This window comes from Homo sapiens, chromosome 1, assembly GCF_000001405.40.
Source record: "Homo sapiens chromosome 1, GRCh38.p14 Primary Assembly".
In the NCBI taxonomy this organism is placed as follows: Eukaryota; Metazoa; Chordata; class Mammalia; order Primates; family Hominidae; genus Homo; species Homo sapiens.
In genome coordinates, this window is record NC_000001.11 from 78339289 (window position 1) to 78364409 (window position 25121).

The 25121-nt window shown below is 37.4% G+C and overlaps 1 long non-coding RNA gene across 1 annotated transcript in view, besides 1 other annotated feature; it reads left to right on the forward strand.

Moving 5' to 3' along the window:
* The window catches only part of MGC27382 (uncharacterized), a 139866-nt gene that overhangs the window by 109690 nt on the left and 5055 nt on the right, over positions 1–25121 (forward strand). The window contains exon 4 of the long non-coding RNA NR_027310.2: positions 3238–3352. This is a non-coding gene — a long non-coding RNA (uncharacterized MGC27382). The remainder of the gene's footprint in view (positions 1–3237; positions 3353–25121) is intronic.
* Positions 715–1914: an enhancer, noted in NCBI's record as "P300/CBP strongly-dependent group 1 enhancer chr1:78805687-78806886 (GRCh37/hg19 assembly coordinates)". NCBI's record gives its function as "activates an origin of replication core promoter dependent on BRD2, BRD4, P300/CBP, MED14 and CDK7 cofactors, with strong dependence on P300/CBP, by STARR-seq in HCT116 cells {active_cell/tissue: HCT116}" and the evidence as "EXISTENCE:reporter gene assay evidence [ECO:0000049][PMID:35650434]".

The window sequence follows — 25121 nt, forward strand, 5'->3', positions numbered from 1 at the left end:
AGATGCCTTCCTCATCCCACCTCCCCATCACGTGGTCTTCCTCCCTACCCTACTCAGGTTCTGATACTCACAGAAACCTCCTCCTCTAGGTGCATCCCCTCCTCACACTGGGTGAGCTCTGATAGTCTGCTCAAGGTCACCATGGCTGCCTTCTACTTTCAGCAAATACTGTATGGCTATGCTCCCACAAATGGCTTTAGAACTGAATTGTTTGGGAAGGGAAAGAAACTGAAAGGGAAGTTGACAATTGGAATTTGTCATTGGAATTCATCCCTAATTCCAGTTTTTGCCTCCAGTTCTGACCATTCCTAGCCCATCTTGTCAGCTCATTGAGTCATTTGTCTTGCCGGGTCATCTTGGTTTCTTACTAACTCTTGTTTGCAGTATGCTTGACCTTGATGTGTGTCCATTAAGACATGCAAAGGCTTAGCCTCCCAGGGCTGCATCACCTCCTCAGCTCCAGGCTGCTAGATGACAGTTCAGGTTCAGGCTGACTCAAGCTGCTTCTGCAGCAACCACAACCATTCTCAGGAGAAAGAGCTAGAGCAAGGGATACCAAAGAAAGGGTCATCTCTGAGGGGTGGTTGTTGAAACTATAGGTGTGGTAGAAGTTGTCCAAAAGAAAAGTGAAGAAAAGGAAGAGGAAATTAAAGAATATCTTGTAAGGAATGTTTATGTGTTTATATTTAAGATAAATAAGGAGAAAAGGAAAAAAGGAGTTAGAACAGAGATATTATGGAGTAACCTACAACCTGGAAAAACTGAAGAAGTTGCTGTAGGTGACTATGTTCTTTTTGAGGAGAATTTGACTCAATGCTGTGTCCTCAAACAATTAAAATGGGAAAAATAGCATTATTATTATAAAGCCTGAGTAAACTAAGAAATATGACATTATAGAATGCCTTATTACAGTAAAAATGACTCAGTAGGCTGAGTCAAAGTAAGTGATTCATCTATGCAGCCTGTCAGATCATCTGACAATTATTTTGCCTGACTTTGGAGTTCAGGGTCAGTTAAAAGAGGCTTGCCTCTTCTGTTTTAGTCAACTTTTGGGGTGGATAGTTTGTTCAGATAATAGCACCCATGAATTTATTATTAAAAACCTTGTGGGAGAAACCCTTCAAAAAGCATAGAGCTGTCACTTGGATAGCTTGGGTGAAGTTACTTACCTAGGTGACCTTGTTCAGATGGGCAGATTCTCTGGAAATATAAGTAGTATGTATGTCTATCTTATTCACCGCTATATCCTCAGCTCCTAATACAGTGCCTGGCACATTGTGCATGCTCAGTCAGTAGCTGTAAAGTGAATGAATAAAGGAAGATTTGTCTATACTTTTTTGAGAAGTCATAATCTGATGGTGGAGAGGACTCATCTCAGAAATTTTTTTTGGATAACAGTGGGAAGATGGTCATGCCCTAAACATTTTTCAAGATAGTCATCAAGGGCCAGGCACAGTGACTCACGCCTGTAATCCCAGCACTTTGGGAGGCTGAGACAAGCAGATAGTGAGGTCAGGAGTTCGAGACCAGTCTGGCCAACATGGTGAAACCCAGTCTCTACTAAAGATACAAAAAATTAGCCAGGCTTGGTGGCGGGCACCTGTAATCCCAGCTACTTGGGAGGCTGAGGCAGGAGAATCACTTGAACCTGGGAGGTGGATGTTGTAGTGAGCTGAGATTGCACCATTGCACTCCAGCCTGGGCAACAGGGTGAGACTTTGTCAAAAAACAAAACAAAACAAAAAACAAAACAAAACAAAACAACAACAAAAAACGATGATCATCAAGGAACATCATTATTTGGTAGATTAAAGTTGTTCTCTGCAACAAGGCTTTATTTACTGTGAATTTCCTTCATAGAAATTGATGCTATTCTTTGGTGCTAATAATGTAAAACTTTCCCAGAAGGTCAAACAGTAAATCACCTAAGAAATGGGTGTCTAGATTGTAGATGACAATGTAACATTTGGAGGTTCTTTTAGAAGCGAGTAGCTATCTGGGTTGAAATAACTGAGGAATAATGTGTAATAAGCTTATTGGGCCTGAAGCACCCAGAAAGGCAGTTGTGCTAATTGGGTCTTTTCCTCATGTAGCAAAATTTCCTGTAATTGTGGTGACAAAACCATGACCATTTATGAGAAAGTTATTGCAGTGATTAAGTAATATGTCTTTGAGATGGCTTAATAAAAATTATTATAAAGTGGTCTCCTCCATCACAATTATTTTTTGTTTTTATGTTTACTAGACCACTGCAATTTATTTATGTATTTATTTTTTAAGAGATAGAATCTTACTATTATGCCCGGACTGGACTTGAACTCCTGGCCTCAAGTGATCCTCCTGCCTCAACTTCTCAAGTAGCTGGAACTACAGGCATGTGCCACCGTGCCTGGTAAAAGATAGTAAAATTTAATTAGCATATAATCTATGCCTAGCATATTTAATATTTAAAGATTTATTTAGCTCTTTAGTAAAACATAGATAATGATTAATAGCATATGCTTCACTTAGAGAAATCAGTTATGAAAACACCCTAATGGTTAAGAGCTATGACTCAAGAGTAGACAGATATGAGTTTAAATTTTAGCTTCTTTTGTTCTTTTCTAGCTGGGCTTTTGGGTGAGTTATCAAATGTTTCTTTGCCTAAATTTACCCAACAATAAATGGGATTTACTAATATTATTTACCTCATGGAGATGTTTGGAGCATTCAATGAGATAATGTATTTAAAGCATTTAGCTTAATATCTGGCAAATACTAAGCATTAAATCAATACTAATATTCTTTGTTATGGAAGGATTTGCCACAGATTTCCTTCAAATGCTCTGCTCCACTTAAATGTATCAATTCACATGGAACTTCCTAGGAGCTCAGATATTAGCTAAGATAAACAACATATATGAAAGGATAGTATTTTTCATTAAATTTAACCCAGGGACATGTGGTTCTCAATGGGAGTAGGATGGGGAGGAGGGCACTGCTTCCCAGTGTGATGGCTTTTGGAAACATATGAGCTGTCTTTGGTCCACATATACTAGCTAAAGATCTCTGGGTGAGTGACATTTACCTTTCATAATATAAAGAACACTGCTAGTTAGTATTATCTATATATAAAATGTATAGAATATTAACTGATTTCAAAAATGGCAGCAATGCTCATTTTCACATAAGCATTTAGAATGAAACATTGATGAGATTTGTGATATATGTTCTTATGCAATTACTGTTTTTATTCAGCATAATGATTTGGAATGATGCCTAATAAAATAAATGGTTGACCAGAAGATTAATAATGTGTTGGTTTCTCAATAGAAGAGGAGGAAAACATGTTTTTAAGATTCTTACCAATAAGGTAAAGTATTCCTTCAGGTTGTTCATTCATTCATTCTATCTATTTATTCAGCAAACATTTAATGAATGTCTGTTATGTCCATTCTGCTTTATTTATTTATTCATTTTGTGTTTGTTTTAATTTTATTCCTCTTTTATTTTTGATTTTTCTTGTTACATCTTCAAGGGAGAACATTCTGCTTTATCTAATCTGTATCTAATACAATGATTGATAGATTGTTAAGCACAATAATAGGTGCTTAGCAAAAGAACATTGGATCATGGATTGATGAATGAGTGGTAGTTGAATAATAAATACATGATCCCTGCTTTGTAGAAATTTATACCCCAGTGGGTTAGAGAGATGGTTTGGGAGACAGAAAAAAACTGTCTTTTTTTTTTATTATTATATTTTAAGTTCTAGGGTACATGTGCACAATGTGCATGTTTGTTACATATATATACATGTGCTATGTTGGTGTGCTGCACCCAGTAACTCATCATTTACATTAGGTATATCTCCTAATGCTATCCCTTCCCCCTCCACCAACTCCACAACAGGCCCTGGTGTGTGATGTTCCCCTTCCTGCGTCTATGTGTTCTTATTGTTCAATTCCTACCTATGAGTGAAAACATGCAGCGTCTGGTTTTTTGTCCCTACGATAGTTTGCTGAGAATGACGGTTTCCAGCTTCATCCATGTCCCTACAAAGGACATGAAATCATCCTTTTTATGGCTGCATAGTATTCATGGTGTATGTGTGCCATATTTTCCTAATCCAGTCTATCATTGATGGACATTTGGGTTGGTTCCAAGTCTTTGCTATTGTGAATAGTGCCACAATAAACACACGTGTGCATGTGTCTTTATAGTAGCATGATTTATAATCCTTTGGGTATATACCCAGTAATGGGATTGCTGGGTCAAATGGTATTTCTAGTTCTAGATCTTTGAGGAATTGCCACACTGTCTTCCACAATGGTTGATCTAGTTTACAGTACCACCAACAGTGTAAAAGTGTTCCTATTTCTCCACATCCTCTCCAAGACCTGTTGTTTCCTGACTTTTTAATGATGGCCATTCTAACTGGTATGAGATGGTATCTCATTGTGGTTTTGATTTGCATTTCTCTGATGGCCAGTGATGATAGCATTTTTTTCAATGTGTCTGTTGGCTACATAAATGTCTTCTTTTGAGAAGCGTCTGTTCATATACTTCACCCAATTTTTGATGGGGTTGTTTGTTTTTTTCTTGTAAATGTGTTTGGGTTCTTTGTAGATTCTGGATATTAGCCCTTTGTCAGATGAGTAGATTGCAAACATTTTCCCCCATTCTGTAGGTTGCCTGTTCACTCTGATGGTAGTTCCTTTTGCTGTGCAGAAGCTCTTTAGTTTAATTAGATTCCATTTGTCAATTTTGGCTTTTGTTGCCATTGCTTTCAGCGTTTTAGACATGAAGTCCTTGCCCATGCATATGTCCTGAATGGTATCGCCTAGGTGTTCTTCTAGGATTTTTATGGCTTTAGGTCTAACATTTAAGTCTTTAATCCATCTTAAATTAATTTTTAATGAATCCAGGAGCTGGTTTTTTGAAAAGATCAACAAAATTGATAGACTGCTAGCAAGACTAATAAAGAAGAAAAGAGAGAAGAATCAAATAGATGCAATAAAAAATGATAAAGGGGATATCACCACCAATCCCACAGAAATACAAACTACGATCAGAGAATACTATAAACACCTCTACACAAATAAACTAGAAAATCTAGAAGAAATGGATAAATTCCTCGACACATACACCCTCCCAAGACTAAACCAGGAAGAAGTTGAATCCCTGAACAGACCAATAACAGGTTCTGAAATTGAGGCAATAATTAATAACCTACCAACCAAAAAAAGCCCAGAACCAGACAGATTCAGAGCCGAATTCTACCAGAGGTACAAAGAGGAGCTGGTGCCATTCCTTCTGAAACTATTCCAAACAATAGAAAAAGAGGGAATCCTCCCTAACTCATCCTATGAGGCCAGCATCATCCTGATACCAAAGCCTGGCAGAGACACAACAAAAAAAGAGAAATTTAGACCATTGTCCCTGAGGAACATCGATGCAAAAATCCTCAATAAAATACTGGCAAACCGAATCCAGTAGCACATCAAAAAGCTTATCCACCATGATCAAGTGGGTTTCATCCCTGGGATGCAAGGCTGGTTCAACATACGCAAATCAATAGACGTAATCCATCATATAAACAGAGCCAAAGACAAAAACCACATGATTATCTCAATAGATGCAGAAAATACCTTAGACAAAATTCAACAGCACTTCATGCCAAAAACTCTCAATAAATTAGGTATTGATGGGATGTATCTCAAAATAATAAGACCTATTTATGACAAACCCACAGCCAATATCATACTGAATGGGCAAAAACTGGAAGCATTCCCTTTGAAAACTGGCACAAGACAGGGATGCCCTCTCTCACCACTCCTATTCAACATAGTGTTGGAAGTTCTGGCCAGGGCAATCAGGCAGGAGAAAGAAATAAAAGATATTCAATTAGGAAAAGAGGAAGTCAAATTGTCCCTGTTTGTAGATGTCATGATTGTATATTTAGAAAACCCTATCGTCTCAGCCCAAAATCTCCTTAAGTTGAAAAGCAACTTCAGCAAGGTCTCAGGATACAAAAAACTGTCTTTGAGAATGTATTTTATGCTTTCTGCCTTAGCTTCAAATTTTAGAATTTAATATGTGAAGTAGGAAATGTGCTGATTTGAGTCTGATATACAGAGATCTGTCTAATAGGGATGAGAGAGAGCCCTGGAATCTACAGTATTAGCAAGAATTCCAGGTAATTCTTATGTATGTGCTCCATGTTCCCATCTTTGAGAAATAATGTTTTAGTCCTCTTATTAGATCCAGAGAAAAGGGTCAAGATTATTGTCAAATTACCTTTACACTTACTTTTTATTGCTGCTACCACCACCACCAAGAACAACATAGCAAAGAAAAACAAAATAAAACAAAACACACTTAGATTGCTCCAGGGAAGGGAAGCACTAGGAGAAGCAATTTGAGTAGCAGTGTGGGCATCTTTCTGAGTTCAGGAGAGTATGGCTTCTAATCTTCTCAGCTGGATTTCCCTGGTGGATGAGTGTGGGCAAGCAGCATTCTGAACCATTTCTTTATCCTTTGCTGCAGTATTTTCTTTATGTTTTGTGGAGAGAAGTTACTGCTTATACTAATTTTTACAGAACTGATGACTGTTTGGAAAGGGCACTGAAGGCTGGCTTATCTTACCCACTCCTGAGTTTCTGTTAACTATAGCTGTGGTTAACATTAGGGCTATTTGACCTTCGTGACTGTAAATGTCGTAAAGCTATTCATACAAGATGTGATATTCTCATAAACAGCTTCTGCAAAAGGAAAGATACATACTTACACAAAGCAGCAGGCTCAACCAGTTGGAGAACTGATAGCAGAAAAAGACTTTGACTACTTTCCTGTCACTTGGTGTCACTATACAGTCTAAGTATAACAATGTCTTTCAATTTCCAAAGTGCAAAAATTTGACTACCTCACACACTGGAAAGAAGATGCAATAAAAAAATTCAAGAAGCACTTGACTTTTTGAGTATCTTGAAGGAGAAACTGAGTCTTGCTCTTTTAAATCTTAACGTGTAGCTTTAGGCAGAGGGATTGGTAGTAGCTGAGCAGAAACTGGTCTTGGGGAATCCTGGCCTACTGTGGAGTCAGCCACAAGTGCTAGAACATTCATCCAGCTGTAGTTGATCGTTTGGAGGATGGGTTTCCCACATCCCCAGTGTTATGGGGACAAAAACAAGAAGGCTTTAAAGGTTAGAGTGGGCCACTGGGCACCACTTTTTGGCCAGCTCAGAAACAGGGCAGTGGATAACTCTCTCCCATGGAAGACGCAAAGCTACTCAGGATGGTGGTGGCAGTTGATCTCTCCACCAGCACTGAGCCAAGGAAGACTTCTTCTAAAGCTACTTATAAAGTTTGGGCCAGGAGCACATGGCTAAGATGATTAGATCCTTCACTTCAGTTGCTTCCATAAATGTTGGATGGAGGCTAGTGAGAAAAGATATGCCCTTAGTATTAATACTATATTTCATTGTGGAACCTTCATGCTCTATCAGGCATCTGCCCAGGGCCCTGCCTGTTAGTTTTTCAGTTCAAATTCAGTCACATCCTAGGGGGCAAGCCAGTCCTGGAGTGCTGGGCTAGGACTGGTTTTAAAAACTAGCACTTTATGGATCCAAAACCATTGGCCTCCCTGTCTCTTTCAGCATCAGGTTCCTAAGGGATGAGGCAAATTTTCTAATTTTAAAAAATTGTCTACTTTTATTCTTATGAAATTAACTTTCACATAACATGCATTAGTTACCATTTAACCATTTTAAAGGGTTCGATTCACTGGCATTTAGTACATTCACAATGTTTACAACAGTTATCACTATCTAGTTCCAGAATATTTTCCTCACCCTCAAAGGAGACCCCATACCCAATAAGCAGTCACTCCATTTCCCACCTTCCTACCCTCTCTGGATACCACTAAGCTGATTCCTCTGTCTATGAATTTCTCTATTCTGGATATTTTATATAAGTGCAATGATACAATATGTGTTCTTTTGCATCTGGCTTCTTTTACTTAGTATAGAGTTTTCAAGATTCATTCATGTTATAGCATGTATCAATACATCAACAGTTGATGGACATATGGGTTAGTCACATCTTTTGGTCACTGTGAATAGTGCTGCTGTGAACATTTGGGTGCAAGTTTTGTCTGAATACCTGTTTTCAGTTCTTTTGGGTGTATACCTAGAAGTGGAATGGTTGGCTCATATAGTAACTTTATGTTTAATTTTTTTGAGGAACCACAAACTATTTTCCACAGTGGTTGCACCATTTTACATTCCCAGCAGCAATATAAGGGTTCCAATTTTTCCACATCTTTGTCAAAACTTGTTATTTTCCATTTTTTTAAAAATGATAGTATCATCCCAGTGGGTCTAAAGTGGCATTTCATGGAAATTTTGTTTTGCATTTGCTTAGTAACTAATGATGTTGAGCACCTTAAATGTACTTTTTGGCTATTAATGTCTTTTTTTGAGAAATATCTATTCAAGTCCTTGGCCCAATTTTTAATTGGATTTTTAAAACTTTTTGTCATTGACTTGTAAGAGTTCTTTATATATTCTAGATATTAGACTTTTATTAGCTATATAATTTTGAATATTTTCTCTCATTCTGTGATGAAAAAAGTTTCACATTTTGACAAAGTCTAATTTATTTTTTTCTTTTGTTGTGCATGCTTTTGGTGCTATATCTAAGAAACCGTTACTAAATTCAAGGTACTAAAGATTTCCTCCTAAGTTTTCTTTTAAGAGCTTTATCGTTTTTGTAAGTTTATTATGGCTGTATTCTTTTTTGTGTGTGGCCATTGAAATCTGTTCTGTCAGCTAGTGATTTGAGACATTTCCTTAAATACTGAAATGTAGCAGCTTCTTTCTTCATTAAGCATTTCACCGGATGTTGTGCATTGTTTATTAGATTCTAGAGTTCCAAAGTGATTCAAAAAATGACATCCTTTGATTTTGTGGAGGAATGGAATATTGGAGTTCCTTCTCTGCCGCTTTTGGTGATGACACCTATTCGTACTTTTCTTTGTTAAACAGGAATTTTTTAAAACATCCTATATTATGCTGAATAGTGACATTCAAAGATATAAGATTCTAATCCCTGGACCCTGTAAATTTTGCCATGTAAGGAAAAAGGGTCTTTCTAGATGTGATTAATGATCTTGACAAGAAAATAATATCCTGAATTATCCAGAAGGACTTTAAATGCCATCACATGCATCCATGTAAGAGGACAACAAAGGAAGATTTAAAAGACACACACAGAGGAGAAGGCAATGTATCCACAGAGAAGGATATTGAAGTGATGTGGCCACACTCAAGGAATGCCAGAGCCACCAGAAGCTGGAGAAGTCAAAATCCAAATTCTTTCTCAGAGATTCCTGAGGCAGTGCTGCTCAGCCATAACCTTGATTTTGACTCAGTAAAGCTGATTTCAGACTTCTGGCCTCTAGAACTTTGACAGAATACATTTCTGTTGTTTTTAAGATACCAAGTTTGTGGTAAGTTGTTATAGTAGTCCTTGGAAACTAATACTCCTTCCACCATATTACTGGGCTATTTTATTTCATCTATGGCTGCCTGTCAAAGGAAGCTACCTTCAGTGATTTCAAGGTGACTTTTTGACCTATATGTAATTTACTTCACACACACACCCACCCACCCACCCACCCACACACACACACACACACACAGAGTATCAATGTATATATACATATATATATATAGTTGTAACTGGTATGTCCCTTGCAAAATAAGAGAAAAGGAAACAACAAAACCCCAGGAATTTAATCTTTGGCTTGGCTTGTGTTCACTAGGGCATTCCATTACATACCCTATTTATTTTCCACAAACTAGAAGGAAGATGTAAAATATTTATTTGGCATTCAGCCTCAGTGAAAAGGAGCCCAGCACAAATATGAAAACCTCTGCATTTCATAAAGGCAATATATAGAAGAATAATTATAATTCAATGTGATATTATAATAGTATATTAGCAAAAACTCATGGAATCTCAGAAAAGGGACTTGATTATTAGGGATACTGGACATTACTTCTCGAGGATGTCCCATTAGGTCAAGTCTAAAAGGATGACAGGATTTGCTAGGCAGAGAATGCATAAATATGGAATGTCATGTGCAGGGACACTGAAGTGTGAAATGGTGTGATTTATCTGAGAGATATAATGGGAAGTTTTGTTTGTCTAGAAGTTAGGAGGTAAAGAAAAATGGGTGAAAATGCTGGAAAAGTAGGTGGGTCCCAAACTGTAAAGGGTCTTGAATGCTCTGATAAAGAGTAGAAAGAGAGCCCTCATCAGCAACTGAACAGGGCCAGACCCTGATATTGGTGGGCCTTGCAGCTTTCAGGGCTGTAAGAGAATAAATTTCTATGTTCAAGTCACCCAGTTTATGGTATTTTCTTACAACAGCCTGAGCTGACCAATACAATGCTATTGGCTGGTATGTAATACTTAAATATGAAATATTAGTGGCTTTTGACATATTTAAAAGATGAGGGTTGAGTATGAATTTTCTGTTTTTTGATGAACATAACTGGATGTTGGGATCCAATGCCTGGAAATCAAAGTAATTACCATTATTGACTCATTTAGTTCCAGAGAGTGATGGATGAACATTTGCCATCAGGACTCAATTATTCTTATTATTCACAATCACATATAATTTTGTACTTGGGTTGGGGGCCCAAGGCCAAAAATTTCTCCTTGAAGGTCAACAAGTCATGTGTGCATTTGTAAATTAAAAAAATAACCACCTGCCATTTTAACAGGATGATTATATACTCTCAAAAAGTTTTGGAGATCATTTCTACAACAGTGGCCAGAAAAGCAGAAATATATTCAGTAACTTCACCGTTACTGAAGTTTGGGTTTTCTCTATTATACTTGTTATATATAAATGATTGTGGGAAATACCTATGAAAATGATCATATCAGAATAATTCTCATGGGAGCATAGTTTCTTAATAGAATAAAATATATATCATTAATAATAAAGTATGATTTTGTATGTTGCTCCTTTTACTAACCAATCTTTACACCAATTTTATTCCTAAAATTTTTTCCCTTTGATATGTCTGCAAAAATTTAGCAGTGGAGTGCCTGGTCATTGCTTAGTTATATCTGAAATCATTGACAATATATTATTTTTTATAAACTAACCTTCATTATGGAAATTAGAAACATTTCCATAAGTGAAATTGGGTTGAACTTAATGAATTTATGTGTCAAAAATAAAAGAATGAAAATATCTTAGTGACTTGTGAAATGTGGTCATTCAAAAAGTGCCGGCTGCCTTTATTCAGTTTTGGAAGTACCTATACACATGATTATATTCACATGCCTAGATTCTCACTATAATTTTCTAGTACTATTGTAACAAATTACTACAAACTTAGAGGCTTAAGCAATACAAATTTGTTATCTTATAGTTCTGGGGTCCAAAATCTGAAATAGGTCTTAGAGAGCTAAAATCAAGGTGTGAGCGGAGTTGCGATCCTCCTGAAGACACTAGGGGAGAATCCATTTTATTGCAATTCCAGCTTCTAGAGGCCATCACATTCCTTGGGTCATGGCTCCATTCCTCCATCTTCAAAGCCAGCTGGTGGAGTCTTTCTTCTGATGCGTTTCTCTTGTTCTGACCCTTCTGCTTTGTTCTTCTCAATTTGAGGGCCTTTGTGATCACATTGGGCCCGCCCAGATAACCCAGGATAGTCTTCCCATCTCAAGGTTCTTAGCAACAATTCCAGACTTCAGGGAGTTTATAATCTAGTGAGAGACATCAATGCATAAAGATGTTTGCCACCATGCATGAGGACTGCTAAGAGGGGCTGTGCAGAACATAAAGAGAGGGCAGAAGGAGTACAATTGACTGACTCTTCTTGGAACTACCCAAGGAAGGCTTTACAGAAGGGCTAAGTGACCTGGGTCTTTGTGAGGAAGGCAATTGGTCATGCAGAGAATTGGGCCAATGATATTTCAGGCAGATGAAAAATCATAGTCAAGGGCAGGCAAGTTTGGAAGAGCATGTTGCATGTATTATTTGAATAGGAGCAAAAGAATGTCCCAGGAATGAAAATAGCATTTATTATTTATTCAAAGTCAACAAATTAAGAAAGAAGTCATATTTGCACTATCAGTTTCATGTAAATTAATAAATAGAAAACATCCAAATAGTACAAATATATCAAATAGATACAGTAGAACCATGGTGGTGTAGAATGGTCACCTTATTCTGCCACTAACTGGCTATGCAAACTTGGGCACATTAATGTCTTAATAAAATAAAAGAGCTAGAATAGATACATTTTAAAGTTCTTTTTAGCCTAACATTCTATGAAGCAAAACAAACAAGCAAGTGATTCCACAGTTTCTCTTTTTGACTGAGAAATCTGTGAAAGTTAATCAAATCATTTAGACTGGCTTATGTGTGTGGAAGCAAACAGATACTCTGTTCATCATTTCCATATGGTCTATTGGTAGCCATCCTGAGGCATTTTGCCTGGAAACTTCCCCTTGAAATATTGCAGAGAGTGGAGAATGGAGACGGTGTGTTTCAATCAAACATTTGTTAGAGTGGTTTTCACGTGTGTGAAAAATCTGATTTTTTCATGTTCTCCATCATCTGCTCTACTTTCATCTGCCTTAAATATCAGTATGCTCTCTCATGGGTTAAGGCTCTGTCAAGTATACTTTATCCCACTTGTATTTGCTTTCTGAGTTTTCTTCCCAGGAGTGTGTGAGGTTGGTAGAACAAGTGGTTCTTTGATATTTGGCAGAACTTCACATGTGCCACATTTTCTGAAATCTTAGCTCTTAGCTGCTCCCCTTCCCTTACCACCTGTGGGCTTGTTGACATTTATTTTTTTGGCTTTTTGAGTATCATACTTTAAACCAAACAATAATTTTTCACTGAGATTATTGGACAAAGGCTGATGGTCTCACCACTGCCTGTATAGAAGATTATATCCCAAACAGTCATAATGATAGCTTGGGGGACACTTTTAGAGGAGTTTGGTCTATGAAGAGGATCTGTTTCATTTTTCTTTCACTAAAACACCTCATGTATAAATTAGTGAAAGAAAATTGAGAAATTTATTTGGTGTTAATAAACAATAGACTTCAACAGTTACCATTGCAGATCTCATTAGTAATAGAACACATCTTTATTTCTGCAAATGAAGAGGAAGGCTCAGTTTTACATTTTCCAAAGTTATGTGGCTCCTGTAAATTGACTACTGTTGCAAACCGAGGTAGGCTAATGTAATTACACTTTTTTTTCTTGAATAATTCATAATAGCTGCTGAAAATTTTCAGGTAGGTAAGAGTTAACTATTTCCCTAGAGCCTTACTATCATGTCGTAATGAAACATGTCTTAGACCAAACTGGACCACTCAAATAGGTATTTGTGCTATTGGGCACAAAATACTTCATAGATCCTGTACTGATGAAATTCAGGTTTCTGATATTTTTGGTGCTCTGACAATGCAAGAATGGTTCTCTGAAGGAAGGCCCAATGACATTTTAGAGGCAAGACTGTTCTCTCACAGTTGATATCAGGCAACCAGAGATCCTTCAACAACTGGAGCCAGGAACATTTACAGGTCAAGCCACAAACCCTATCTTGAAGGGTTGGGGCTAAAAGTCTCACTAGATTCTTGCGCTTTGCTCATGCAAGGGTAGTAATGCCTCCCAAATATCTTAGCCAATCCACATGTCTTGAATACTTTAAATTCGTCACATGGGAATGCATTTCTATTATAACATTCATGTTGCTAACAAGGCATTGATTTCACCAATAAAACCCCATTTTTGGATAAGATTTATGCTAATTAATAAAGTATCTACTGATGATCAGTGATACTGGTAACAGAAGCACTTGCAATAGCGACCTCTGGAGTGTGAGCTTAACGGCATATAACTAGCTGACTTCTTCTGGAACACAAATTCCTGATTGTACCTGGCTTGTAACTCAACCTAATAAATGTGACACCACACTGTCTATGCTGAAGTCCTTTAAAGAAAATTACAGACAACTACTCAACATTACCTTGTGTATTAGTTTCCCATTGCTGTTGTAACAAATTACTCCAAACTTAGTGTCTTATTCCATTTATGTTGCTATAAAGGAATACCTGAGACTGAGAAATTTATAAAGAAAAGAGCTTTATTTGGCATATAGTTCTGCAGGCTGTATAAGAAGTATGGCACCAGCATGTGGTGGGGGCCTTAGGAAGCTCCCATTCATGGTGGAAGGAGAAGGAGGGCAGGCATCGCATGGTGAGAGAAGAAGCAAGAGAGGGGAAGGAGGTGCCAGGCTCTTTTCAACAATCAGCTCTCGTGAAAAACGACTCACTTTTGCATTAACCTATTCACGAAAGATCTGTCTCCATGACCCAAACGCCTCCTACTAGTTCCCACCTTCAAGATTGGGGATCACATTTCAACATGAGATTTGGAGGGGACAAATACCCAAACTATATCACTTAGTGGGTTGAACAATACAAATTTATTATATTACAGTTTTGGAGGTCAGAAGTCCAAACTGGTCTCACCACTAAAAATCAAGGTATTGGCAGAGTTGCATTCTTTCTGGAAGCTGTAGGGGAGATTCTGCTTCCTTGCCCTTTCCAGCTTCTAGAGGCTGCCCTCATTCCTTGGCTCATGGTCCTATTCTTCCACCTTCAAGCAGCAATGGCAGGTGGAGACTTTCTCATGCTGCATCACTCTGGTTTCATGCTTTCATCATTACATCCCCTTCTCTGACTCTCTGTGCCCCCTCTTTCCTCACAAGGACACTGTGTTTACATTGAGCCTGCCTGACAACCCCATCTCAGGATTCTTAATCACAGTATAAGGTTACACAACTTAAGCGTCCTTTTACAGGTTCCGGGGATTAGAATATGGACATCCTTAGGGGCCGTTATTCTGCCTATCACACCCTGTTAATACACTTAAGTAATTTTCTGAAAGATAATTTTGGCTGGGTGCGGTAGCTGATCCCTGTAATCCCAGCACTTTGGGAGGCCGAGGCGGGTACATAGCCTGAGGTCAGGAGTTTGAGACCAGCCTGGCCAACATGGTGAAACCCCGTCTGTACTAAAAATACAAAAATTAGCCAGGTGTGGTGGTGAGTGCCTGTAATCCCAGCTACTTGGGAGGCTGAGGCAGGAGAATAGCTTGAACCTGGGAGGCAGACACTGCAGTGAGCTGAGATTGCAGGGCCACTGCACTCCAACCTGGGTGACAGAACCAAACTCCACCTCAAAAAAAAAAAAAAGGATAATTTTAATTTCACTTAATGGAATTCTATAGTAAGAAGAAAAAAAACATGGGCTTTCGATCTTACAGATCATGGTGTAAACTCTGGCTCCTTATGAGTTGCAAGCCATGGGAAAGACAAATAAAGTAATAAATATATACCTTGCAGAGTTGCCATAAGGATTAGGTTAAATAATGGATAAAAAGGACTTAGTCTAGTTCCAGCACATAGGAGATACTAAGTAAAAGGTAACTAAAGTTAGCTGTTATGATGATTCATTGAATTTTGAAGCTATACAGATCTTCAGAAATCATTGTGTCTAGCAATTTTCTACCCTTCAGCAGCAGAACTACCTTCTTATAGTCCCAAATAAAATCTTACTTAGAACTTTATAAAGAACCTCAATTTATAAGAAAAATAACAGCAATAGATAGGTCCCTTTGGTGGCATAAGTTTTTCCTGCTCCTCCTCTTCTTTGCCTTTCTCTTCCTTTTCTTCTTCCTCCTTTCCTCCTCCTTCTCCTCCTCCTCCTTTTTCTTCTTCTTTCTTGCCCTCCTTTTCCTCTCCTCTTCCTCCTCCTCCCTTCCTGCTTTTTCTTCTTTCTTGCCCTCTTCCTCCCCTTCTTCCTCCTTTCCCTCTTCCTCCTCTTCTCCCTCCCCTCCCCTTTCTCCTCCTCCTTTTTTTGCCCTCCTTCTTCTTCTCTACCTCCTCCCCCTTTCTTGCCCTTCTCCTCATTCTTTTTTCTCATCCTCCTCCTTTTCCTTTTTTCTTACTGTTTTCCTTCTCCCCGTCTTCCTCTTTTCCTCCTTCCCCTTCCCTTTTTCTTCTTCTTGTTCTTGTTTATCCTCTAATTCTTATTTTTGCAGACAATGTTTTTGCTGTTTCCACAGCCAATGATCTCTATAGTTTAAAGGCAACCACTTGAAAGCCATGGGTCTAGTGTGACCTCTTAGTTTACACTGGAAGAAAAAGAGGTACGGAGAAGTTAGTGACTTCCAAGGTCACACAGCTACTCAATGGAAGAACAGGTACCTGAATTCAGCACTCCTGATTTCCAGTCCAACTCTTTTCCCTATATTACGTTGGAGGTGGGGTAAAGCAGAGTGACCAGAAAGCTGCTAGAGGAATGAGGAATTTTAGATCATTTAGTTAAGGCAAATATCCTTAATGATAGCAAAAGTAAACGGAGTCTCCCCTCCATAAACTCTGGTCTTGTACATCACAAAAACAGTACTCTGAAGTACAGAATTTGGCACTTCATCAGCACCACACAAAAGGAATGTTGTTTGTGAAATATACTAGATTAGAAACAGCTTCTCTTCAGCTCAACAGTATTAGAAATTTTGTTTGAAGCCTGGACTTCTCCACAAAGATTTAGGGTTTTGAATATAGGTTCCAGAAAGCTGTGCTCTGCTGAAAATCTCAGAACACATTGGTAGGAAAAGGCAAGTGCTTGTAAAGCAGGGCATGGCTCTCTTCTGCTGCCCCAGCAGGCTCAGTGGGACCAGAAATCTTCATTTTCAACTTCCCATTCAACACTGGAGTGAGAGTTCTTTCTCTACAAGGTGCTCTGAGGTGTTACAGCATATGTTACAGCATAAACTGCTTGCTGAATTATTGTATAAAAACAATTTTAGTTTAGCACAGCCCTGAAACACAATACTTTTTCCCTTTCAGACTTAAACAAAAAATCAACAGTCCAAAGAAACAGTCTGGCCCTTGTTTGAAATTAGTGAAGAATACGGTACTAGTTTTAAAACCAATGTCACTTATTCTAGGATAAACTATACTTTATTTAATTATTTAATTATTTCTTGAATGAGCTTAAAAGTAAACTCTGAATTGTATGTTTTTCATGGTCCTACTCAATGTGATATCTTGGGATGGTACTCTAAGTATACAAGTACAAGTGTGTCTGTTATCTACACAATAGATTTAGTCCACAGTAAAGACTCACAGTAAAACTGCTTAGCTCAGGTTATCCAAAGGCTCCAATATTTAGGATGAATGTTGAAAATGTCAGCCAAAAACTTCAGCAAGAAAACAAATGAGGGGTTAATTATCTTATCAAAAGAACTGATTTGTTTAGTAAAAAATGAAGATAAAAAACATCATGTATACAAAACCTACCCCCTTTATTGAGCCAGCTTTTTATTCTGACTGTATTGCTTGTACACATACAACCGACGAATTACGTGGCAGAGGTGCCTGGTGAGAAATTTGAGACTAGATTTAAAAAATCACTTATTAGGCTGGGCATGGTGGCTTATGCCTATAATCCTAGCACTTTGGGAGGCTGAGGCAGGTGGATGACCTGAGGTCAGGAGTTCGAAACCAGCTTGACCAACATGGTGAAACCCCATTTCTACTAAAAATACAAAATTAGCCAGGTGTGGTGGCGCATGCCTGTAATCCCAGCTGCTTCGAAGGCTGAGGCAGGAGAATGGTTTGAACCTGGGAGGCGGAGGTTGCAGTGAGCCGAGATCGTGTCATTGCACTCCAGCCTGGGCAACAAGAGCAAAACTCTGTCTTAAAAACATTACCTGTTTATCAATATTGATTTTTCTTAAAGGGCAGTTTGGTATAGTTATACAATAGCATAAACATGGGATTTAGTTTAGCTAGACTTGGCTTAGAGTTCTAGCTTTAGCACTTAGCCTTAGGAACCTAACAACTTCAGGAGAGTTTTCTTATCTACATGATAATACAACATGCCTTACCTAGTTTTTGAGAGATTAAGTAATATACTGATGTAAAAGTATTTGGTGAAATATTATAGAAAGTTAGTATTATTTCTCTGATATTTTTCAGATAGATACCCATCCTGATAAGACAATATACTACTTTGTTAGCCATATTATCTACTTCCAGCAGCTTCTGGCTTCTGTATTTTTTGGTAGAAAATTACTGGCTACTATGACCCGTTACTTCCATCTTGGAATGTTGAAGGATTGTTTCCCCTATTCCTTATTTGTGAGGTCTGCTTCATGTTTCATGTAGAACTTAGTTCCTGCCTCTTATTTGGAAGGTCTTGATTAATATTCCATGGGAAACATTTTACTCATTTAATTATTCTAATACTACAGAGTTTCTTTACTTCTTTTAACTTGGCACAAAAATTTTCACTCACCTGCACCTTGGTTTTGACTTTTGAATCTTATCTGTCTCCTCAAACTTTCTGTCTTTTGGCTTTTTTTTCCTGATTGATTTCCTTCATTCTAAGGACAATTCAAGATGCGTATGGAACGGGAGAGAGAAATCATCCAAGTAGAGCTATGAAACACTTTATTATAGAAATAAAAACATCAGTGGGAGTTGTTTATAGTAATTCATGTAAGAAAATAATTGGTAAGAAGGTATTCATAAAATAGTCAGCTACATAAGTATGTTGACATTATACTGCATAGTAATAAAAAGGAGAAAATGGTACCCAGTGGGTTAGAACCTAAAATTAAGAATCTATGTTAGAAAAGACACAGATTTGCTAAAGATGAAAGATGAGTTATCCTATATGTAAAGTACCTATGTGAAAATCTGCTGTAAGGTTGACGCTGTTAAAAATTATAATTCGGATAAAAATGAGAGAACCTTAGAACTACCATTTTGAGATCATATTAAGAGGCTATGTGAACAGAGAGAAAAAAGTGATTAACGTGCTAATTCAAAATATAAGATTGACATGAGGTTGGATTTTAACAGTCATGAGTACTTCAACTGTCAAGACATATGCTGCAAGTCTTCTTAGGCTAAATCAAGAGCTTCTAACAAAGAATGTTTAACTTGTGTTGCTGACAGGTTTCATTTCCCAGTAGGTATGAGAATTGACCTGGTTAATGAAACGGTAATAATAAGAAATGCATGACAAAGTGACTGTGTCATCTTAGCAGATCTTCGTGAACCAGAATTCTTGGCTCAGAATATAAATTTTAGCCATAGAAGAAGTGAATGTTTGAAGACACATTAAATAAGGTAATGCACATAAAACACTTAGTATAAGGTTTTATTTCTTAGAGCTCAATTTATAGCAGTGTATAGGAGAATGTCAGTTTTCCTTGGTCTTGGACTTTCAACAAAGTATTGTGCATTTAACAAAACAAAACACTTTCCTAGTTTGTTAAATATAAAATATTTTTATTAAATTTAAATTTCTTTTATAGTTAATAAAGATAGACCTTTTTTTTTTTTTTTTTTTTTTTTGAGACGGAGTCTTGCTCTGTCGCCCAGGCTGGAGTGCAGTGGTGCAATCTCGGCTCACTGCAAGCTCTGCCTCCCGGGTTCATGCCATTCTCCTGCCTCAGCCTCCGGAGTAGCTGGGACTACAGGCGCCCGCCACTACGCCCAGCTAATTTTTTGTATTTTTAGTAGAGACGGGGTTTCACCGTGTTAGCCAGGATGGTCTTGATCTCCTGACCTCGTGATCCGCCTGCCTTGGCCTCCCAAAGTGCTGGGATTACAGGCGTGAGCCACCGCGCCCGGCCAAGATAGACATTTTTTTTTTTTAACGGGTTTATTTGTTTCTTCTTTCTTTACTTCAATTACCTTGAACTTTACTCCTCTTTCTAATGTTGTGTCTGTATTTTCTAACTGCTTTTTCAAGGACTGTTTATAAATGAGGCTCTAAAATATGTATAAATGTATTTACAAATATTTTTCAAAGATTTCCATTTACTTGAAAAGTTTATGTGGTATTTTCTGATGTACAGAAGTTTACATTTTTTAAGTATGCAGTTTTTTTCTTTATGATTTCTGCCTTTAGTGCCATGCTTAGAAAGGCTTGCCTCCCTCTCTTTTTTTGACGAATATTTTTCTATAGAAGTGTAATGTTTCTGGGTAGTAGAGAAGGCAGATTATATGGTTTGGCTGTGTCCTCACCCAAATTCTGTCTTAAATTGTAGCTCCCATAATCCCCACATGTCATGGGAGGGACCCAGTGGGAAGTAGTTGAATTATGGGGCGGGTCTTTCTTGTGCTGTTCTCCTGATAGTGAATAAGTCTCACAAGATCAGATAGTTTTAGGAAGGGGAGTTCCTCTACATAAGCTCTCTTGCCTACTGACATGTAAGGTGTGAATTTGCTCCTCATTTACCTTCTGCCATCATTGTGAGGCCTCCCCAGCCATGTGGAACTGTGAGTCAATCAAGCCTCTTTCCTTTATAAATTACCCAGTCTTGGGTATGTCTTCATTAGCAGTGTGAAAACAGACTAATACAGCAGAGTTTCTCAACTGTCTTTGTTTTTAATATTTTTGTCAAGGCAAGTGCACTTTGGACTAGAAATATAAAGTATACAGAGAAGATCAAATTTCAAGAAGCATGAAGGAACTGGTTAAGTGACTTCTAGTTGTTTTGCCTTGTTGTATTAGGTCCTAGAATTCTGAGGCAACCAGCAAAGGAAATAGAAAAATAAAACCTTGATTTCAGTTTTCTTTTAACAGTCATGAAAGAACTACAGCATGAAGAATGGGAATGAACAAATGTGGTTTTGATTTTCAAAAGGGGTCACAGGGAGATTTTGCAGGTGATAGACCGATAAGCCAACCAAATTTGAGCTTGGTTTCAATCTCAGGAAAATTTCTGAATGTATTATTTAAAGGACAGTTGGTGTAATCTCTAAGAAACACTGTGTATTCACTGAAAACAGCTCACGTTAGGCTTTTCTTAATGCTGTCTTTCACTGAACTCTAGAATAGAGAAATGCTGCATATGGTGTGTTTCTCACTACATGCTTACAGAAATGCTGGAGAGATGTGAGTTGGATCTTTGTAATTAGATGAATGTGTAACTATTTGACAGAGTATACCAAAATTATCTATAAATGGATTATTTTGAGCCTATGAGAAATGTGGAAAAATTCTTCCACTAGTTTTAAGCTCTTCAAATTTATCAATGACCTCTGAATAGATGTTTGATACTTATTGAATTTGTATTAGGTAAGTAGTAGGAATATAAGTGTGAAACAATATAAAACTATAGGCAAGATCTACTACTAAAGATGAAGTCTGTTGCAAATAAGTATGTTTTATTTTTCTCCAAATAAATCACACAACTATTAAATTGAAAAAATATGACTTAGAAGCTCATCTAAAACTTATTTAGAAAATGTCAGTAACTTTAATGTGAATCAACATATGGTCACCATGAAAACTAGCTCTGCTGGTTGTTGCAATAGTAAGATTATCATGTCCAGAATTAGGGAAATAGTAGTCATTCTTTACTTAACTTCAGTTAAATTGTCCATGAAGCATTGTGGTGCCAAGTATTAACACTCAAAAAGATAAATTGGTGCACAAGAAGAGAGAAATGACCAGGATGGTGGAGCCATGCCATAGGATGATGGCTGAAGACACATGAAAAGAGAAGACTTAGAGGACATGTGAGAGTTGTTTTCAAACATTTGAAGAGCTATTTTATGGTGAATGTAAAATTAGGTCCAAAAGAATGACGTTATAAGATAGGAGGTTTCAGCTCAACATGATACAGGATTTTACAGAGCTCCTCAGAACTGGAGAAGCAAGTATTTAAGAATAGGGCAATTACTCAGCTGCGAATGCTACTGACAGATGAATAGTTTGCCTAGCTTACCTTTTCAAAACTGAGATTGCAACTTAATAAACTTTTCAGTTTTGCCACTACACAAGTGCATTGAAAAGCATTCCTTAAGCCTGCTGCCTTCATCTGATAAAAAGGCAAGCTGCATGTATAGCAAATGTGACTGGTCACATTGGGTAGGAAACTCTTAGTAAACTGTTCAAAACCTGTCCCTGGAACCAGCCCAGTCTGCCCAGGTCTCTGGGTGACAAGATAAACTTTAGCTTTTTGTTGCTGATTCTGTAAACACAGTCATTTGAAAAGGTGACCAGTAGAAGCCAAGCCTTGCAAATATGGTAAGCATAACAAGTATGACGTTTGGAAAAATAACTCAATATAATAAATTTTTATTCTGAAATACTTGGATTAACTGCAGCCTGAAACAATCTTAGTTTCTGTTTATAAATTTTGTTACCACAGCTTTAGCATTTAATCTGTTTAATCCTTTCATTAAACTTAGTTTTTGAACCAAAAAACCACCTGCTTTGGTGCCCTCCGTTTTAAAAACTGCATCCATAATGACTGAGGAAGGTCATGGCTTCTTCATATTGGCCTCCTAAGAGCACTCAATGGGGAAGGCTGGATGGAACATGGCACATCTTTCTTGGTTATTCCCCATTTGCAGGCAGCATTGTGTGTGGGGGGGAAGTGGGGACAGAAGATGACAATATCACTGTGTATGGGAAGGAAAAACAAGAGCAAACTGGGCATTTTCTTCCCGTTTTTGTGCTGGATGGAATGGATAGGAGTCATTACAAGTTGAGGGCTAAGGATAACTTGTGATTATTGAATGAAACAATGTCGATAATATAAAATGTAATTGCTTGGCACACAGTAAACATTCAGAAAATAATGATTATTATTGGAATTATGATTGTCACTATCTATTCTGGTGGTATGGGATCACAGCCCCGTCGGATGACTTAGGTGCTTGGGGGAAAAATCTGTATTCAGATAAGACAAAATGGCTAGACTAGAGCTCCAGCTTGACTAATTTTCTAAAAAGTTGGGGGCAGTTGTCCTGTTGGGATTCATTAATTCCCATTAGTTCTCCACCCTAATTCTTACAGTCTCTACCCTTTACTAGCTCATGGTCTAGGGAGTAGACAGGCTAACTGTATACACTTATGATATATGTGTGATCCCCCTAAGCTCAATTACTTAACAACCCTTTCTTTGCTATTTGCATTTTTCATGCTGTGATATTCACCTTGACAATGTAAATAGAGAAAGAGGTGTTAGGGGTTAGTTATGTTTCACTAAAAGATATATTGAAGTCTTAACCTCTGGTAGCTGAATGTGACCTTATTTGGAAATAGGGTCTTCACAGATATAATCAGGTGAAGATGAGGTCATACTGGATTAGGGTGGGTCCTAATCCAATCTTATTGGTATCCTCATAGGAAGAAAAAATTTGGACATAGATAGTCACAGAGATGACACGTGTGTGCCTTTTTAGTGTGAAGACTCATGTCTTCCTTCAAAGCTCAAAAATGTTAAAACAAGATTTTTCGAATTAATGCCTTTCTGCCATTCACCATATTATCTTCTGAAACTTCCATTGGATGTATGTTGAAGCCACTCAATCTAACTTTCATTTATCTTAAATGGAGTTTTTATATTCTTAAACTTATTTTTTCTTTTTATAAATGATAAATTTCAAAGTAGGCTGATATGCAGACTTTTCTTAATGATAAAAAACAAAGAAATATAATAAAATTTACTGTGGACTTGTTATGAGTTTGGCACTATACAAATGCTTCATTTAACCATGGAATCTGGTGTGTAGATAATGTATAAACTGTGCTTTAAAAATAATGGAACTGAGGATTTGAGAGGTTAAATAATTGGTCCAGCGTCTTAGGGACCATAAATGGTGAAACCAGAATTTGAGCCGAGGCCAGACTCCACAGTTCTTGATGGCACCCACTCGGCTGTATTGCCTCTTTGTGGATCACAAAGATTATGTGAGTTGTGCACTAAAAGTTTTTCTTTTTTTTAAAGTTAGCATTACAAAAGCTTTTAAATTAAATGAAATAATTCACCCTTCAGAAGTTTTCCTTAGGAGTAAGTCGTGGTTCTCAAGTCATTTTAATTCTCTATTCACTTTCTAATAAAGTTATATTCAAAGATTCTTCTCCTAAGTACAAACATGCACACCCACGTGCATGCAAATACCCATACAGTTGTCCCTCAGTATCTGTCAGGGATTGGTTCCAGGACATCCTGTGGGTATAAAAATCCAAGGTTGCTCAAGTTCCTGATATAAAATGGTATAGTATTTGCATATAACCTATGCATATCCGCTTGTATACTTTAAATCATCTCTAGATTACTTATAATACCTAACACAATGTAAATGCTATGTAAATAGTCATTATACTTTATTGTTTAGAGAATAATTACAGGAAAAAATCTGTATATGTTCAGTACAGACACAACATTTTCTTTTTTTGAGTATTTTTAATTCACCAATGGTTGAATCTGCAGATGTGGAATCCGCTGATATGGAGGGCTGACCCGATATCCCAAACGAATTTTAAAACATTTTTATGGCCTCATTATCTTTTTCAAATATATATTTACCCATTGTAAAAAAAAAGCCAGTTACATTAAAAAGTGCTTTTATGTGAAAATACGTAATCAAAAAATATTCCTGTGCCTTTCCATGGTCTTAATGATTGCTGTTGTCAACATAATCTAATGATTAGAAACTGGTCTCTATGAAAGTCAGGAGAAATATTTTTTTTGAAAAATAGTTGTTTTTCTATGTGCAAATAGATATGGTCTTCATGTGTGTGTTTGTCAAAATTTAAGAAGGGTTAGGAAAATTTTTTTGGAGTGTCCCTTTGGAGAGTGAAGACCTGCCCATCTCACTTTATGGTTTTCAACTGAAATCTAACTGCAAGTAAAACCACTTTATTTCTTGCATTTTTAGTTTCTGGTTTTCTGTAGTGAACTTCTCTGTGGTTTTTTTTTTTTATCAGAAACTTGCCTAATTTATCAGGGATATCTATTATCTATTTTTTTATGTGACTTCTCTTGCACACTGTTTTTTTTTTTTTTTTTTTTTTTTTTTTTTTAGACAAAGTCTTGCTCTGTTGCCAGGCTGAAGTGCAGTGGTGCGATCTTGGCTCACTGCAACCTCCGCCTCCTGGGTTCAAGGGATTCTCCTGCCTCAGCCTCCCGAGTAGCTGTGCCTACAGGTGCGTGCCACCACGCCCAGCTAATTTTTTTTTGTATTTTTAGTATAGATGGGATTTCACCA